The sequence below is a fragment of the Homo sapiens genome, chromosome 14, assembly GCF_000001405.40.
Source record: "Homo sapiens chromosome 14, GRCh38.p14 Primary Assembly".
Taxonomy (NCBI): Eukaryota; Metazoa; Chordata; class Mammalia; order Primates; family Hominidae; genus Homo; species Homo sapiens.
Window position 1 is genome coordinate 105,364,735 of NC_000014.9, and position 17,390 is coordinate 105,382,124.

Below are 17,390 nucleotides of genomic sequence, written 5' to 3' on the forward strand. Positions count from 1 at the left end.
CACCCAGGCTGGAGTGCAGTGGTGTGATCTTGGCTCACTGCAGCCTCAAGCCCCTGGGCCCAAGCAGTCCTCCCACCTCAGTCCTCAAGTAGCTGGGACTACAGGTGCGCACCACCATGCCCAGCTAATTTTTTATACTTTTTGTAGAGATAAGAGTTTCGCCATGTTGCCCAGGCTGGTCTCAAACTCCTGAGCTCAAGCCATCCACCTGCCTCAACCTCCCAAAGTGTTAGGATTACAGGCGTGAACCATTATGCCCGGCCTCAATTTTCCTAGTCACTAAAATCTATTTGAAAATGGAAGAGGGAGGAGCCTGTCAGGGTCAGGGGTGGAGGGAGCTGGGCCCTGGGGCCACCCTCCCTGGTGAGGCAGCTCCAGCCCTTTGCTGAGGATTGCAGAGCATCCACAGAGCATCTGCTGGACTAACCCGGGAGGGTGGTCTCAGGGTCAGCAGGGGCAGGAGTGGGAATGGCCACAGTCCAGGACAGTGACCTGCCGGCCAGCATCACCCCAGGGGAGTGCCCAGCTCAGGGGTGGCTGGCCCCTTGGCAGGAGGACGCACGCCCCAAGGAGCACTGTCAGGAGGAGAGGAACATGCAGCCTGGAGTGTCGGGGCCTGGGACTTCCAGGGCCTGCAGATATCAAAATAGTGTTCACATATAGGTCGACCACAGGCTGAGTGGAGCGGGGGCTAATCAACAACCCGCCCCTGGCCCGCTGCGGGCCCAGCAGAGCATTCCCACTACAGCCAGCTCCAGGGATCCCGGCAAAAGCATCTTTGATAAGAGGCCCCATTCCTTCCTGCCCTCCCACCTGAAGGAGGAAGCGAGCAGGGTTTTCTTAGGAGAAAAAGGGCCCAGACCCCTCTGAGCCCCGTGGAGGTTGGTATGAGCAGGTGCAGCACCACCTGAGCCCCACCTTGATTCCTCCGGGACCCCAGCCCGGCAGCCCCCTCCCCTCTGAGCTCATTTTACTGGGATCCCCAGCAAGGGCTCAGCATTTCTGACCGAGGGCTTCTGAGCTTCCAGGTTCTCACCCCTGTGTGACACTGAGACCCTGCCACATCAGATGCCACTCTGAGAAGGCGACTCAGGGTGCTGGGGGCCTGGACAACAGCAGCCTCCAAGTACGTGAAGCTGCGTGTGCCCCGGCGAGTTGTGGGCACGAGGGCGTCAGCAGTGGGTGCGAGTGTTGGCAGAAGCTGCCAGCTGCCCTTCGTCATTTTCTGAAATGAAGATGAGGGCAAATGTAAACTTTTAAACATTTTTTTACCTTGATTAATTGAAGAATTAGCAGCCCAAATCAGGACCCCACAATCAAAATAAATCTGGTCGGCTGGGCGTGGTGGCTCACGCCTGTAATCCCAGCACTTTGGGAGGCCGAGGCAGGCAGATCATTTGAGGTCAGGAGTTTGAGACCATCCTGGCCAACATGGTGAAACTGTTTCTACTAAAAATACAAAACTTAGCTGGGCGTGCTGGCAGATGCCTGTAATCCCAGGTACTTGGGAAGCTGAGGCAGGAGAATCACTTGAACCCAGGAGGCGGAGGTTGCAGTGAGCCAAGATCGCACCATTGCACACCAGCCTGGGCCACAGAATGAGACTCCGTCTCAAAAAAGTAATAAATAAATAAATCTGGTCTATAAAATCCTAACATCTGGATGTGAACCGATAGCCCCAAAAGGCGGCTTCTAGAGCACAGCTGGCCCCAAGGCTGTGAGTGTCTGAGAGTTGTCGTCATGGCGTGTGGTTCTGAGGCTGGCGTGGGGCACGGCGGGGCTGTGCCTGGGTACAGGTCGTGGCTGCAGGAGGGGCCGGGGCTTGTTCTGCAGCTCCGTGGTTTGAGTGCCTCACAACAGAGGAGCTGGACCTGGCCTGTGAGCCAGGCCTGGTGGGTGTCTCCTGCTGCTGGAGATTCCGGCCTGGCTGAGAGTGCTGGGCTCCTCCTTGGTCCCCCACAGACACTGGTCCCTGGGCATTGGCTCCTGTGGGTTGGGCAGCCGGCTTCACACACTGCTTTGCTGCTGCTGAGCTCTTGGGTGGGTGGAGGGTGGAGGCAGGGTTGGAGCAGGGGGCCAGGATCTTCCTGGGTGGCACTGCATGGACAGCAGTCGTGCCTGAGATCAGGAGGGCCGCGGACACCCCTGTCTGTCCATCTCAGTCCCTCGTGACTGTGCCTGGCACTGGCCTCTCCAGCACAGCCCAGTGCCCTCTGCTTATGGCCCGTTCGTGAAAGCTCCCACGTGTTCCTCTCGTCTGTCCGCCTGGCTCCTGTGTCCTCCTCTCGTATCTGTCCCCTCTCCCCAGTGGCCACGTTTCCTGTCCACTGGATGCTCCCTGCCCTGTGGCTGCCCTGCTGAGGGTCCCCCTTGCTGTCACTGAGAGAGAAAGCCCTTCAGAAACCCCAGCCCACACATCAGGGCACCGGGGCTCCTTCCCGTCGTGCTGCTTTCTAGAACCGTGCCCCTGGCCTGCAGGTGATGCAACACCCGTCTGAAGGTGGCCAGGTGCTGAGCCTCTGCAGCAGCATCAAGGAGGCCCCCGTCAAGGCGGCCGAGATCTGGATCGCCTCCCTGTCCAGCCAGCCCATTGACCACGAAGACAGCACCATGCAGGCCGGCCCCAAGGCCAAGTCCACGGGTGAGTGTGGTGCCAGCCCGCTCCTGCCCCTGCTGTGGGGAGGCCCTGCCTTCCAGCCATGGCACATCGGGTGGCAGAAACTGTCCAGCCTGGCTTAAGGAGTTGGGGGTCCGGAGCACGTGTCAGTTGCTCTCCTGTCTGGAAGCCACAGCAGAGGTGCGCGCTGTTGTAGGGTCCGGGCTGCCACAGGTCCCTGTTCTGCCCCCGTGGCTGCAGCTCCTTGGTCAAGAGGCCTGAGTCCTGAGTGTCCTCAAAAAGGAGGTGTGGGGTCGCACTGTGATGCCCTTGCTGGTCTGGGTGCAGGGCCCGCCATGGGCAGGTGCCACAGCTGCCGCCACCCCAGTGGGGTCACCAGGGCCTCCCCTACTCCTCAGGCGGGGGAGACCCAGTCGGTGCAAATCCAGGCTGAAATGCCAGCTGGCAGGAGGGGCCGTGGAGGCCGGAGCAGTTCATGTGGCCCCCTTTGCCCTCCCTGCCCCTCCCCACTTCCTGCCAACCCCGACCTGGACCGTTGCCAGTGGACTTGGGGGACTCGGGGGCTCGGGGCCACGGCACCTGTGTCTGGAGCCCCTCTGTCCTGCATGGATCCACCTCCTCGCTGCCCCCACTCTGTGTCCAGGGAAGCCTGGGGGTGGTCACTGCCTGGTTTCCCGGGTGGAATCTCACGGCACCCTCCCTTCTGTCTGTTCATTCCGCAGATAACTACTCCGAGGAGGAGTATGAGAGCTTCTCCTCCGAGCAGGAGGCCAGTGACGACGCCGTGCAGGGGCAGGTGACCTGGGGCCGGGGCTCCGCGCCCTCTCCTGGCTCACACCGGGTGTCCTGGGGTCTGTGGGGTCCTCACCAGCTGTCACCAGGGCCTCGTGAGGGTGGGTGAGCCACGGGCCTGGCCCCTGGTTGGCCGCCCATCTCTCGTCTCCCGACCCCAGGGGCCCGAGTTTATGCTCAGGTGGCTCTGAGAGTCTTGGGACACAGGTGGGCTCTCAGTGCCGGGCCTCTCCCATCGCCCACGCTGAGGCTGGCAGGGTCCTGCCAGCACTATGCAGGCTGCCGTGGCCTCAGCCACTGCATATGTCTCTGCAGGACTTGGACGAGGACGACTTTGACGTGGGGAAGCCGAAGAAGCAGCGGAGATCGATTGTAAGAACGACGTCCATGACCAGGGTTGGTGGAGACTGCTTCTATGAATGCTGGGGAAGGCGAGGGTCGGGGAGGACGCTGGGAGCCTGGGCGTGGGGGGGACACGGGCGTGGGAAGTGAGATCTCACCCCAGGTCACAGCAGCATGTCCCGTGGCAGACCCCCTGATTGCCAGTCTCCTGCCGGGTGCCACTGTCTCCCCTGCCTCGCCACATCTCCTGGCTTTAGCCTTGTGTGGCCGCTAGGCTCAGTGGGCCCTGAGCAAGGCTGGGAGGCTGCCTCGCTGCCAGGCTCACTCCATGTGCAGAAACTCCGGGAGGCCATCCTCCCTTTTGTCCCGTCAGGTGCCCACATACACCTGAGTGGGCTGGTTCCCCCATTTTTGTTTGGGATCTGGCCTACCTACCTCCACGGTCCCCAGGAGCTTGGCAGGGCTGTTCAGCATTTTTTCCCTGAGGAAAGCTCAGGCAGCTCTTTCCTCAGAGGCCGTGTCCGGCACTGGCACAGAGGGTCCACCGCCTGGCGCCTGGACACCCCAAGGACAGGCACGGTTCCAGGGAGGCCAGCGCAGGTGGGCGGGGAGCTCTGTGCCTGGTGCTGACAAGGGACATGGGCACAGCCCAGCCCGGACACCGCCGCCTCCTCTGGCAGCATTCAAGGGGGCGCTGTGGGCAGACGGTGCCAGGGACGGGCAAGCTGCTCCCAAAGTGGTGAAGCTGTGTCTTGCTGGCCTGGAGAGCAGCCCCCGCTGTGCAGAACACCAGCTTGAGCCTCCATTCCAGGGCCCCCTTGGGCCCAACTGTTGTGAAGGGAGGGCGTGGGCTGCCTTTGTAGGGTTGGTCCCCGAGAGGGTGGCTGAGGGTCCCGCTCACCCAGTGGCTGGAGCCGAGGTTCTGCAGTCCAGGGTGGCACGAGGCACCCACGGGGCTCAGGCTCTTGGAGCACGCCCCACCCCACACTCGCCCACCTGCCCACCCCACGTGGGTGCCCAGCACCTTCCTTCTGGGGTCGGCCAGGGCCTTTCCTGGGAGGGGGTGCTGAGGGAAGGGCCCCGTGAGCCTGGGAAGGGCTGCAGAGGCTTCTGGAAGAACCATGGAGTCCGCACACGCCTCCCCGGGTCCCCCTTGGCCAGGAATGGAACTGTCAGACCTCAGGCCTGTTGGGAAGCCTCTGGGAGCCACGAGCGAATCCATCAGCGTGGCTGGTGCTGAGGCCTTGCTGCTCTCCCACGGCGGGCCTGGGTGCGGCCTGGGCCTGAGGAAGGGGCTCCAGCGGCGGGTCTGCAGCTCTGGCGGCGGCTCTGACTCTGCACCGCCTGTCTTGCAGCAACAGAACTTCAAGCAGAAAGTGGTAGCGCTGCTGCGGAGGTTCAAAGTGTCCGACGAGGTGAGTGCGCCGCGCCTTCTGCTCGCGGCCCCCACGCCTGCAACAGCACCTGGTCGGGAGGAGGCCTCTGGGGTCTGTCTCCGGGCCACCTCTGGTTCTGCCGCTCACCGTCTGCACGGCCCCGCCAGCATCGCACAGTCTGCGAGGCGCAGTGACAGTGGCACTGCCTCCCGGGCTCCAGGTCACCCGCTGGGTCTCTGCTGAAGTAGAAGTCGTGAATACCCTGGAAGTCGGAAAGTCATTTTCAGGGGGATGTAACCATTAGTTTGTGTGTTTTTTTTTTTATAAATAGACTTTAGTTTTTAGAGCAGTTTTAGGTTTACAGCAAAATTGAGCAGAAAGTTCAGAGTTCCCATGGACCCCTCCCCACCTGACAGCCCCCCACTATTGACATGGGCCCCCCCTCCCCACCTGACAGCCCCCCACTACTGACATTCCATGGATTTTTAATGTTCATCTTTTAGCTTTTCTCTAATCTCTGAATTTTCTACAATGAGCTTGTATAATTTTCATACCGAAAAGAAAAACATGGCTGGGCTCAGTGGCTCATGCCTGTAATCCCAGCACTTTGGGAGGCCAAGGCAGGCAGATCACTTGGGCCCAGGAGTTTGAGACCAGCCTGGGCAACATAGTGAAACCCCATCTCTACAATAAAATACAAAAATTAGCTGTGGGTGGTGGTGTGCACCTGTAGTCCCAGCTACTTGGGAGGAAACCTAGTAGGCCAAGGCTGCAGTGAGTGGAGATTGAGCCACTGCACTTCAGCCTGGGCAACAGAGCGAGACCCTGTCTCAAAAGAAAAAACTTCAAATCTCGGCTCACTGCAACCTCTGCCTCCCAGGTTCAACAGGGTTTCACCCTGTTGGCCAGGCTGGTCTTGAACTCCTGGCCTCAAGTGATCTGCCTGCCTCTGCCTCCCAAAGTGGTGGGATTACAGGCGTGAGCCACCGCGCCCAGCCTTTGTTGTTTCTTTAACGTCAGAAGAAAAACGTGCCTGGGTTCAGGACCTGAAGTGGAGAGGTGGCGTTTAAGCGTCTCAGCCTTGAAGCAGGGTTGTCACCCGTCGGCCTGAGAGCACACTGCCTGTAGATGGCGCTGTGTCCTAACATACTCGGGATGCATCCAGCTCAGCCCCTGGGGCACACACTCAGCGAGGCTGTCAGGTCCATGTGCCGAAACAGGTGCTTTGTGGCCCGGTGGGGCAGGCAGCATTTCTGGGAACAGCGTAACATCACCAACTGGCCGCAGAGGAAGGGCAGCTCCGCCACTGGGATGGTCATCGGGCCCCTGTGTCTTTTGGTTTGCATCTTGGATTGGAACATTCCCAAGTGCAGCTGAAGATGGGACTTAGCCAAGTCGGCTCCCTGGCCTGGGGCTTCCTTGAGCCCTGCTGAGCGCCTGTGGGTTCAGGGGTGGGTGTTCTTGGTTGAATCTTGACCGTGGGGTTCTGCACTCACCTGGGCAACTGAACTGAGTCCCAGAATGCATTTCACTTACACAGATTATGGTTCTGAGACTCACAACCCAAACTGTGAAAAGATGGGCCAACGTCACAGACGCTGTTCAGGGAGAGGACATCGTTTTCATAGGGATAATTGCACAGCGTTGTGTGAAATTCATGCAGGTCAACACAGTACTTTAATGGAGTGATGGGATCTCTTTCCGTATTTTCCACCCATCACTCCCTTTCCTGAAAAGACCAGACCATCTCCGCCACAGCTCTGAACCTGTGTCTTGGCCACTAGGAGTGCCACACCTGGCACTGCCCCCTGCCCAGGACTTCACAGCAACCCTCAGGGGGCAGGAGATGCACAGTGAGACGAGGTCACCGCCTGGATTACAGCCATCTGAGATTGTTCATGCTGCTATAACAAAATACTTTAGACTGGGAAATTAATAAACAACCAAAGTGTATTTCTCGCAGTTCCGGAGGCTGTGAGTCCAAGATCAAGGTGCCAGTAGACTCGGTGTCTTGAGGGCCCGTTTCCCATAGAGGGCACCTTCTGTGTGTTGTGTGGTGAGAGGGCCTGACAAGCTCCCTCAAGCCTCCCTCATCAGGGCCCTGAGCCTATTCAGCGGGCAGAGCTCTCGGGCCCTAACCACCTGTTAGAGGCCCCACTTCCTAATTCTAGCACCTTGGTGGTCAGGTTTCAGTGTAGGAATTTTGGGGGTACAAACGTTCACAGCCCCCAGGCTGACCACAGAGCACTGGCATCCAGGCTGCCCTGTGCCCAGGTGCCACACAGTGGGTCTGGTGAGGAGGAGAGCAGGGCTCTGCTTGGGACCCATCCTGTGAGGAGGAACCAGAGTGAAGTCTGTTCCTTACAGCCCTCAGCTTCAGCTCACAGCGAAAGCGTCCGCTGAGGGCTGCCTTCTGAATTTTTCATTGTAAAAGGTGGCACACCTGGATAGTCAGTTGATTTTCAACAAGGGTGCCAAGTTCATTGGAGAAAATATCTTTTCGCAAAAAAACTGAGGCTTGACAATGCACACCATGTGCAGAATTCAGCTTGACTGGATCATATTCCTAAATGTAAAAGCCTAAAATTTAAATTACCTAGATTCTAAGCCTTAAAAAATATGAACTTAAATCCTGCACTAATGCCACTGAACTGTACACCTAAAAATAGATAAAATGGTAAATATTATGTTTTATATATTTTTAACACAATAAAAAAAGTAGAAATTTGCTTTCTGAAAGGTACTGTTAAAAGAATGAAAAGATGGCCAGGTGCGGTGGCTCACGCCTGTAATCCCAGCACTTTGGGAGGCCGAGGCAGTACGAGGTCAGGAGATCGAGACCATCCTGGCTAACATGGTGAAACCCCATCTCTACTAAAAATACAAAAAAATTAGCTGGGCGTGGTGGCAGGCGACTGTAGTCCCAGCTACTTGGGAGGCAGAGGCAGGAGAATGATGTGAAACCAGGAGGCAGAGCTTGCAGTAAGCCAAGATGGGGCCACTGCACTCCAGCCTGGGTGACAGAGCGAGACTCCGTCTCAAAAAAAAAAGAAAAAAGCCACAGGTTGACAGAAAATATTTGCAAATAACATACCTGGTAAAGATTTGTATCCAATAGATATATTAAAAACTTTCAAAACCCAATAAGAAAAGCAACCTGATTTTTAAAATGAGTAAGACTCATACAGTGAAACTATGAAACATTTTTTAAAGAAAGAAGATATAAATAAGTGGAAAGATGTCATATGTTCATGAATTGGAAAACTTAGTCTTGTTAAGGTGGCAATAATCCCTAAATTGATGTACAAATTCAACAAATTCAAGTGCGTATCAGATTCCCAGCTGTGTTTTTGTAGAAATTGACCAGCTAAAATTTATGTGTAAATGCCAGAGACTCAGGGCAGACAGAACAGTCTTGAAGAAAGAAGACTTATACTTCCCAATTTCAAAATGTACTACAAAACCACAGTAGTAATCCTGACCATGTGGGGCTGGCCCAGGGACAGGCATGGAGATCAGTGGAATGGAGGTGATAGTCCAGAAGTGAACCCTTCCATTTATGGGCAAGTGATGGTCAACAAAGATGTCAAGATATCCATGGGGGAAGAATAGTCTTCAACAAAGGTGCTAGGACCACTGGATATCCACATGCAAAAGAAGGAATTACAGCCAGCTGTGGTGGCACATGCCTGTAACCCCAGCACTCTGGGAGGCTGAGGCAGGCAGATTGCATAAGTCCACATAGTGAAATCGCATCTCTACTAAAAATACAAAAAATTGGCCGGGCATGGTGGTATGCACCTGTAATCCCAGCTACTCGGAAGGCTGAGGTGGGAGAATCACCTGAGCCCAGGAGGTGGAAGCTGCAGTGAGCTGAGATCATGCCATTGCACTCCACCTGGGCAACCAGAGTGAGACCCTGTCTCAAAAAAAAAAAAGGAATTTGGACCCCTACCTCACACCATATTCAAGAATTAACTAAATGGATCAGCTGGGTGCGGTGGCTCACGCCTGTAATCCCAGCACTTTGGGATTAGTGGCCGAGGCTTGAGGCTCAAGTGACCCGGATCACTTGAGGTCAGGAGATCGAAACCAGCCTGGCTAACATAGTGAAATCCCGTCTCTACTAAAAATACAAAAACAATTAGCCAGGCATCGTGGCGGGTGCCTGTAGTCCCTGCTACCTGGGAGGCTGAAGTGGAAGAAACACTTGAACCTGGGAGGCAGAGGTTGCAGTGAGCCAACATTGCATCATTGCACTCCAGCCTGGGCGACACAGCGAGACTCTGTCTCAAAAAAAAAAAAAAAAACTTGAAATGGATCAAATATCTCCATCTGTGAGCTAAGATTATAAAGCTCTTAGAAGAAAATGGGCCAATCTTATGACCTTGGGTTAGGCAGGGGTTTCTTAGATGTGACATCAAAAGCATAAGCAACAAAAGGTAAGTTTTTCTGGACCACAGCAACATTTTACAGTTTTGTGCACCAAATAGTGCCATCAAGAAAACCGAACAGTAGAACAGAAGAATGTTTTTTGCAAATCATATATGTGATAAGGGGCTTGAATCCAGAACACATAAAGAATGCTTATAACTGAAAAATAAAGACACAGACAGTCTAGTTAAAAGCTGAACTGTCCATTGCTTTGAGAACGATGCAGCCTCAGGTGCCACGGAGCTGGGGCCCGCCCACTCCTGCCCTGACTCGCTGCTGTCCACTTGTACTGAGAAGTCGACCAGGAAGCCGCCTCGTGGCCACGGCTTTTAAAGACACCGGGAGGACACCTCTGGAGCCCGTGGAGTGATTCCTTGAATTAGAATTACCCTGACCAGCTGCAATGTAAAATCCCTGGAGGTGTGTGCTGGCTTATGAGGGGCACGGAGAAAAACAATCTCAAAGTGAAAGAACCAGTTCTGATGCCTGCCAAGTCTTTGAGAATCACTAAGAGAAACACACCTTGTGGTGAAGGTTCTCAGACACAGGATCACTTCCAGACGAGAATCCATAAGCAGCTCGTGGACCTGCCTGGTCCATCCTGGATTGTGAGGCTGATTGCTCTGTTGGAATTGAGCTGCGAGCCGCGGTTGACATCACCATTGCAGATGCTTAAGCCAAGTGTTTTAATAAAGTGATTATCACTTGTCAGAACCAGGCACAGTGGCTCACACCTGTAATCCCAGCACTTTGGGGGCTGACGTGGGAGGATCACTTGAGCCCAGGAGGTCGAGGCTGCAGTGAACTATGATTGTGCCACTGCGCTCTACCCTGGGCAACAAAGCAAGACCCTTTCTCAAAGACAAAGAACAGTGAATTGTCCAATTAAAAAATGGGCAGGGGGCTGGGTGTGGTCGCTCACACCTGTAATCCCAGAACTTTGGGAGGCCGAGGCGGGTGGATTACAAGGTCAAGAGATCAAGACCATCCTGGCTAACACGGTGAAACCCCATCTCTACTAAAAATACAAAAAGTAGCCGGGCGTGGTGATGGGCGCCTGTAGTCCCAGCTACTCAGGAGGCTGAGGCCGGAGAATGGCGTGAACCCGGGAGGCGGAGCTTGCAGTGAGCCGAGATCGTGCCACTGCACTCCAGCCTGGGCAACAGACAGTGCGAGACTCCATCTCAAAAAAAAAAAAAAAAAAAAAATAGGGATCTTTCTAAATAGATTTCTTCAAAGACACACAAGTAGCCAATAAGTACACGATCATCATGATCATTATCACTGGTCATTAGGGAAATGTAAACCAAACCACAATGAGACACTACTTGATCCCCACTAGGATGGCTGGAACAAATGAAATGCAACAGGGTGAGGTGTAACAGCAGGAACCCACACCCTGCTGGGGGAATGTAAGGTGGTGTGGCAGCCACAGGAAGCAGTTGCCAGACACCCAGCACCCCTGTTCTTCAGTGTTGACTTCAGGGAGGTGAACACACACATGCATGGACCCACTCAGACGTTCACAGCAGCTTCATCTGTGATGGTCATAATGCCCGTCAGCTGGTGATCTGTTAGACTGGGGTCCACCCACTCAGTGGCGCACTGCAGAACCATCAGAGGAAGTGAATAAAGGAAAGAGGTTTAGTTGACTCACAGTTCAGCATGGCTGGGGAGGCCTCAGGAAGCTGCCAATCATGGCAGAAGGGGAAGCAGGCACCTTCTTTATGGGGCAGCAGGTCGGAGTGGGTGCCTGCAGGGGAAATACAAGATGCTTATAAAACCATCAGATCTCTTAAGATGTGCTCATTATCATGAGAACAGCGTGGAGGAAACCACCCCCAGGATCCAGTTACCTCCACTTGTCCTGCCCTTGGCACGTGGGGCTTATGGGGATTACAATTCAAGGTGAGACTTGGGTGGGGACACAGTGGAACATGAAGTGTGCCACGCTGGGTGGATGACGCCCTCCTCCCCCCGCCACCGAGAGCTGCAGGCCACATGATTCCTTTTGGGTAGCACTCGGGAAAGGGCAGAATGTACAGGAACAGAGTGAGATTCGCAGGGCCTGGGGCTGAGGGAGGGGACGCACTAGAGGAAGGCAAAGGGGAGCCTCCTGGGTGTGGGGAGCACTTTCTGTCTTGGTTTTGGTGGTGGCTGCACAGTGGCCCACACCCGTCAGAGCTCACCTGCCTGCACCCAGGCCCTCCGTGCACCCTGGCAGCCCAGATGACTGCACCAGCCCAGGGGAGGTGGAGGAATGCCACACGCACCGGTACCTGGGGACCGGGGGTCCTCGGTGATCATCCCGAGCTCCAAGACAGAAGCTGGACTACAGCCGTGCTGAGTGGAGGGGTTTGGTGGCTGGGTGCCCGCCTCCTATTGCTCCTGCAGACTCTGGGGTCTCGGGCGCCCCCAGTGGGGCAATGTGGGCTGCTGCAGGGAACTCACGCGTGCCTGGCACCCGTGCAGGTCCTGGACTCGGAGCAGGACCCTGCGGAGCACATCCCCGAGGCAGAGGAGGACCTGGACCTCCTGTATGACACCCTGGACATGGAGCACCCCAGCGACAGCGGCCCCGACATGGAGGATGACGACAGCGTCCTCAGCACCCCCAAGCCGAAGCTGCGGTGAGCCCTACAGGGCGGGGCGGGGAGGAACAGCCATTTCAGATGCCCCGGCCACTCTGCGACCACTCTGGCAGACCCATGTCCAGCCCTGGAGACGGGGTGGGCAGGGCCAGCTGCCTCGAAGCCTGGGAAGGCTCTGGTGGCTGGAAGGAGGGGTGTGCGGCTGCCTGGCAGGCCCAGGCTACGGCTGCACTGAGCCAGGCAGCTTTCCTTTCATAGGCCAGGGGGTGCAAGCTCTGGGCTGGGGAGGACCGAGAGGGGTCCCCCAGGGTGCTGGCTGGGCTGGGTGTGGCACCCCGTTGTAGGGGATCCGTCTCTGGGGGATGCCCTGGGAACTGCAGGGGACCTCCGTTCACTCAGGTGGGGAGTAGAGCTCCCATGCTGGGTGCCCCTCCCTGAGGAGGAGGAGGCAGAGGCAGGTGGGGAGGGGGAGGGCAGGTGTCTCTGTGGCTGGATGGGAGGAGGGGCTGGCTGGGGTGGCCTGGCCTGGGCAGGAGGAGAGGATGCAGGGCAGGCAGCTCTGTGCATGGGTCTGGGTATGGAGGCCTCGGTCAGCTGGGGGCAGGAAGGCAAGCACACCAGGCAGAAGGCAGGTGCCAGCCTCTGGGCAGCTGCTGAGGAGCCAGAGGCCCCAGTCAGAGTCAGGAAGCTTGGTAGACCTTTTGCTCTCACACTTTTTTAACCTAAACAACACGAAGAAGGTGGCCTTGCTGCATGTTGGAGGCGCGGCCCCAGTTAGCCCTGCAGCCACGCAGCGGCCTCCCACCTCACCTGCCCCGGCCTGGCAGCCCCAGCCCAACTTGCTGCTCCTTCAGTTGCCAGCAGCCACCATAACAGGTGACCGCGGATGTGGCCACCAGAAACAGCCTCTGTTCCTCCTGTTCTGGAGATTGCCATCCCGAGGCTGTGGCCTCATTCTTGGCCAGGGTCTCGCTGGGCTCGGGTGGAGGTATTGGTGGCTGCCCTGACTGGGGCTCCGAGGTCATGCAGTGCAGGCCCAGCGTGGTGGTTGGTGGAGTTCAGCTCCGTGTGGCTGCGGGATGGGGGTCTGGCTGCCCTGCCGCCTGGTGGCCGTTGGTCATTCTTGCCTTCTGGCAACCGTCCTCGTACCCTGGCCCAGGGTCCCTCCTCCACCTTCGGAACCAGCAAGGCCCAGTGAAGTCCCCCTCACACTTTGGGCCTCCCTGGCCTTCCTGCCTCATCTCTTCTGCCTTCAGCCGGAGAAAGTTTTCTGTCTTTAACGGCTCACGTGATTCCATAGGAGACATCTTTGTGGCCCAGATCCTCTCCCATCTTAAACTCCGTGGTGTTGGCTGTATCTGCAGAGCCCTGGCCAGCTAGCATTCATAGTTTGAGGAGAGGCGTGTGCGTCTCGGGGCTATGATCTTGAATGGGCACACACAGCAGCAAGTTTCCACGTGGGTTTGTCACCCAGGGTGGAGCAGCAGACACTGCTAAGTCCCGTCTGTTTTTTTAGGGGGCGGGGGAGTTGTTTGTTTCTTGAGATAAGGCCTTGCTCTGTCAGCCAGGCTAGAGTGTAGTTGTGCAGTCGTGGCTCACTGCAGCCTCAACCACCTGGGCCCAAGCGGTTCTCCCACCTCAGCCTCCTCAGTAGCTGAGACCAATGGCGTGCGCCACCACACCCAGCTAATTTTTATATTTTTGTAGAGACAGGGTCTCCCTATGTTTCCCAGGCTGGTCTCGAACTGAGCTCAAGCGAACCACCTGCCTTGGCCACCCAAAGTGCTGACACTACAGGTGTGAGCCAGTGCACCTGGCCTCCTGTCAAATTTTTTTCACTTGAAAGGTCTTTTAAGTCTTATTGAATCTGTAGGTCTCCCTTCCTCCTTTTTCTTCGTACATATTATATCAACCAGGGATGAGACATTCGGCCTGGATGGCCTGGATCGGCCAGATGGTCTGCAAGGGTCTGGTTTGTCTGGAAAGGCATGGGTGGCCTGGATCAGCCTGGATCAGCCTGGGTGGTCTGGAAAGGCATGGATGGCCTGGATCTGCCTGAGTGGTCCGGAAAGGCATGGGTGGCCTGGATCAGCCTGGATCAGCCTGGGTGGTCCGGAAAGGCATGGATGGTCTGGATAGGCCTGGATGGTCGGGAAGGGCCTGGGTGGTCCGGAAAGGCATGGATGGCCTGGATCTGCCTGAGTGGTCTGGAAAGGCCTGGATGGTCTGGATTTGCCTGAGTGGTCTGGAAAGGCATGGGTGGCCTGCATCAGTGTGGATAGTGTGGAAAGGCCTGGGTGGTCCGGAAAGGCCTGGATAGTCTGGATAGGCCTGGATGGTTTGGAAGGACCTGGATGGGCCTGGGTGGTCTGATCTGCCTGGTGGGTCCGGAAGGGCCTGCTTCATCTGATGTGCCCTTGTTGTTTTGTCGAGCATGTTCACCTGTTTGCTGCAGGCTGGCTGCAGATCCCAGGGCTGCCCTCCAGCAGGATTGGCCAGTGGAGCTCTCCCCAGAGCCCCTTCGTGTTTGTGGCAGCCTTGCCTGGAGCTAAGGCTGCGAGTTTCAGGGGTGTGTGTTTCCTGCAGCTGATGTCAGGGCAGGTGGAAGAACCAGGACGGGGCAGCCAGGTTGGCCCAGCGCTTAGTGTTGCCAGCTCCAGAATCATTCTGTGCCCTGTGCTGCAGCTGGTGCGAGCGGGGTGTGCGCTGACACGGGCTCTTCTCTGGACCCAGCTCTGCTCTGCCGTTGGATTCTGCAGTCTGTCCCTCCAGGTGTGGTGGGAGAACTGCGCTTTCAGTGCAAGAAGGGTCCTGGAAATTAACGTGTCCCCCACCCCTGTTCCCTGAGCCAGGCCATACTTTGAAGGCCTGTCGCACTCGAGCTCGCAGACGGAGATTGGGAGCATCCACAGCGCCCGCAGCCACAAGGAGCCCCCAAGCCCGGTGAGTGGGGCCACACTGATCTCCCAGAGCAGACCGTGGTCTGACTGGGCTGTGGTGTGGCCCAAATCTCCCAGCATGTCCTGGGCCCAGGGCCCTGTCCAGCTGTCCTGGAGCCACTCTGCACCCACTGTCCAGCACACTGCCACGCAGGTACCCCGGGCCTCCCTGAGTCCCAGCATTCCCAGTCCAGAAGTCAGCGCCTTGGCACCTGCAGTTGAGCACAAGCTGATTCCCATCTCCTCCCCCACAGGCTGACGTGCCCGAGAAGACGCGGTCCCTGGGAGGCAGGCAGCCGAGCGACAGTGTCTCTGACACGGTGGCCCTCGTAAGCAGGCTTGGGCCGCACCCACCCGTTCCACACATCAGGCACACCAATGCTGCCTTTAAGGGTCTGACCTGGAGGGGCGGGGCCCACATATAGGTCCTCATGTCACACCTGGTGTGCAGAGGTGGGGTCAGCCCTCAGGGGTGGCCAGGCTGCCAGATGGTCAGAGTATCCCAAAATTCACTCCAGCTTCAGGGTCAGGGCGCCCTGGACTCACCCCACCCTCAGGGTCAGGGCAGCTGGACTCCCCCCACCCGCAGGGTCCGGATGCCCTGGACTCCCCCCACCCTCAGGGTCAGGGCAGCTGGACTCCCCCCACCCTCAGGGTCAGGGCAGCTGGACTCACCCCACCCTCAGGGTCAGGGCCCCTGGACTCACCCCACCCTCAGGGTCTGGGTTCCCCAGACTCACCCTACCTTCAGGGTCAGGGCGCCTGGACTCACCCCACCCGCAGGGTCAGGGCCCCCGGACTCCCCCCACCCTCAGGTGGATGGCACCCAGGAACGCCTGGTTCCCCCCTGCTGCGTTGCATGGGGTCTCCTCAGTTAGGAGGTCCTGGGCCCAGGGCAAGTCAGGTCCTGGGAGGTTGGGGGCTGGTCACCCTGCATGGCCCGGATGGGAGCCCTGTGCTTGGAATTTGGCTCAGCTAGGCTCCCTGGTCAGCGTATGGCCGGGTCCACATGTAGGAGCCACGGCCTAGAGAGGCCTAAACCCTCACCCGAGCCAGAGGCCACAGGGCTGGAGAGGCCGCAGCACGGGTGTGGTTTCCACGGGAGGCTCCAGGCCCGTCTCTGCTCAGCAGGGTGTGCCAGGCCCGAGGGAGCACCCTGGACAGCCTGAGGACAGCCCCGAGGCTGAGGCCTCCACCCTGGATGTGTTCACGGAGAGGCTGCCGCCCAGCGGGAGGATCACCAAGACAGAGTCCCTTGTCATCCCCTCCACCAGGTGATGGGGGCTGCACGGCGGGGCGGGGCGGTGATGCACCTGTCGGGGGAGGGGCCGTCACGGGCATCAGTCGGGGTGGGTGCGTGTCAGTCCATCCTGATGAGCTCCCTCGGGTGTAGACAGCAGATTCAGGGCCTCGTCCTTCTTAAAAAGGAGAAGCAAACCCCCTGGCCCGGCATTGGGTGTCAAGCCTGCAGCCCCAGATTCCACCCTACCTGTTTGAGGGCAGGGTCAGGCGGGTCTGCCCTCCAGCAGGTGCCCCCACATCCCCCTGAGTAGCCCCTGCCTCAGCCAAAAGACACACATACACCAGCTTGATTCTTCCAGGATTTCAATTTCATGTTTCTGTGATATTTGGGACTTTTTCCAAAGCAGCGAGTCTGGGCACTGGTTTTTACCTTGTGGTGGCACGCAGGTGCCTGTGTCCGCGCTTTGGAGCCAGGTCGCCCTGGCAGCCTCAGTGCCCTGCACTGGCCTGCACCTGGCTCTGCCCAGCTCTTGGCCCGGGCAGGGAGGGTGAGCTCAGTCCTCACGGTGGCTCCAAGCCTCCTGGCCTGGCTCGAAGTCTCACAGGCAGAGCTGTGTGGGGTCCCATCGGAGGCACGGCCTCACTTGTACTCAGCTGCTGCTGTGGCCCTCCCAGGGCTGGTGACCTCTCTGTGCAGCCCATGTTCCCACTGCCCATCAGTCAGCCCTGTGCTCACCCTTCCCTGTCCCCACCACAATGTGTAGGCCACTGCAGGCCTGCCCCTGCCTCTGCCCCTGTTCCTGTTCCTGCTGCCACAGCCACTTAGCCTGTCCTGGTCCCCAATAGGTCCGAGGGGAAGCAGGCTGGCCGACGGGGCCGGAGCACATCCTTGAAGGAGCGGCAGGCAGCACGGCCCCAGAATGAGCGGGCCAACAGCCTGGACAACGAGCGCTGCCCGGACGCCCGGAGCCAGCTACAGGTGCAGCTGCAGGTGGGGGTGGAGGGCGTGGCACGCCCAGGAGGCAGGGCTCGTGGTCACCCTGGCACCAACCAGAGC

General features: G+C 57.7%; 1 protein-coding gene and 1 pseudogene across 16 annotated transcripts in view, besides 3 other annotated features; both read left to right on the plus strand.

Annotated features, from left to right (window-relative positions):
* Positions 1-17,390, plus strand: part of PACS2 (phosphofurin acidic cluster sorting protein 2) — a 97,374-nt gene that overhangs the window by 63,961 nt on the left and 16,023 nt on the right. For 3 of the 16 annotated variants that reach the window (XM_017021112.3, XM_006720090.3, XM_006720091.3), the window contains exons 5-13: positions 2,479-2,641; positions 3,340-3,413; positions 3,725-3,805; positions 5,107-5,166; positions 12,034-12,191; positions 15,005-15,095; positions 15,346-15,420; positions 16,220-16,365; positions 17,180-17,324. In XM_017021112.3, the coding sequence (XP_016876601.1) occupies positions 2,479-2,641; positions 3,340-3,413; positions 3,725-3,805; positions 5,107-5,166; positions 12,034-12,191; positions 15,005-15,095; positions 15,346-15,420; positions 16,220-16,365; positions 17,180-17,324 (993 nt within the window). The remainder of the gene's footprint in view (positions 1-2,478; positions 2,642-3,339; positions 3,414-3,724; positions 3,806-5,106; positions 5,167-12,033; positions 12,192-15,004; positions 15,096-15,345; positions 15,421-16,219; positions 16,366-17,179; positions 17,325-17,390) is intronic. The other 13 variants (XM_017021111.3, XM_017021106.3, NM_015197.4 and 10 more) reach the window with 7 other exon arrangements.
* Positions 6,186-6,389: a silencer, noted in NCBI's record as "fragment chr14:105837257-105837460 (GRCh37/hg19 assembly coordinates)". NCBI's record gives its function as "represses an EF-1alpha promoter that drives an FKBP-Casp9 reporter gene in an ReSE screen in HepG2 liver carcinoma cells {active_cell/tissue: HepG2}" and the evidence as "EXISTENCE:reporter gene assay evidence [ECO:0000049][PMID:32094911]".
* Positions 6,186-6,437: a biological region, named in NCBI's record as "ReSE screen-validated silencer GRCh37_chr14:105837257-105837460".
* Positions 6,368-6,437: an enhancer, noted in NCBI's record as "active region_9147". NCBI's record gives its function as "activates an Ori minimal core promoter by ATAC-STARR-seq in GM12878 lymphoblastoid cells {active_cell/tissue: GM12878}" and the evidence as "EXISTENCE:reporter gene assay evidence [ECO:0000049][PMID:35858748]".
* RPS20P33 (ribosomal protein S20 pseudogene 33) lies at positions 9,887-10,237 on the plus strand (annotated as a pseudogene).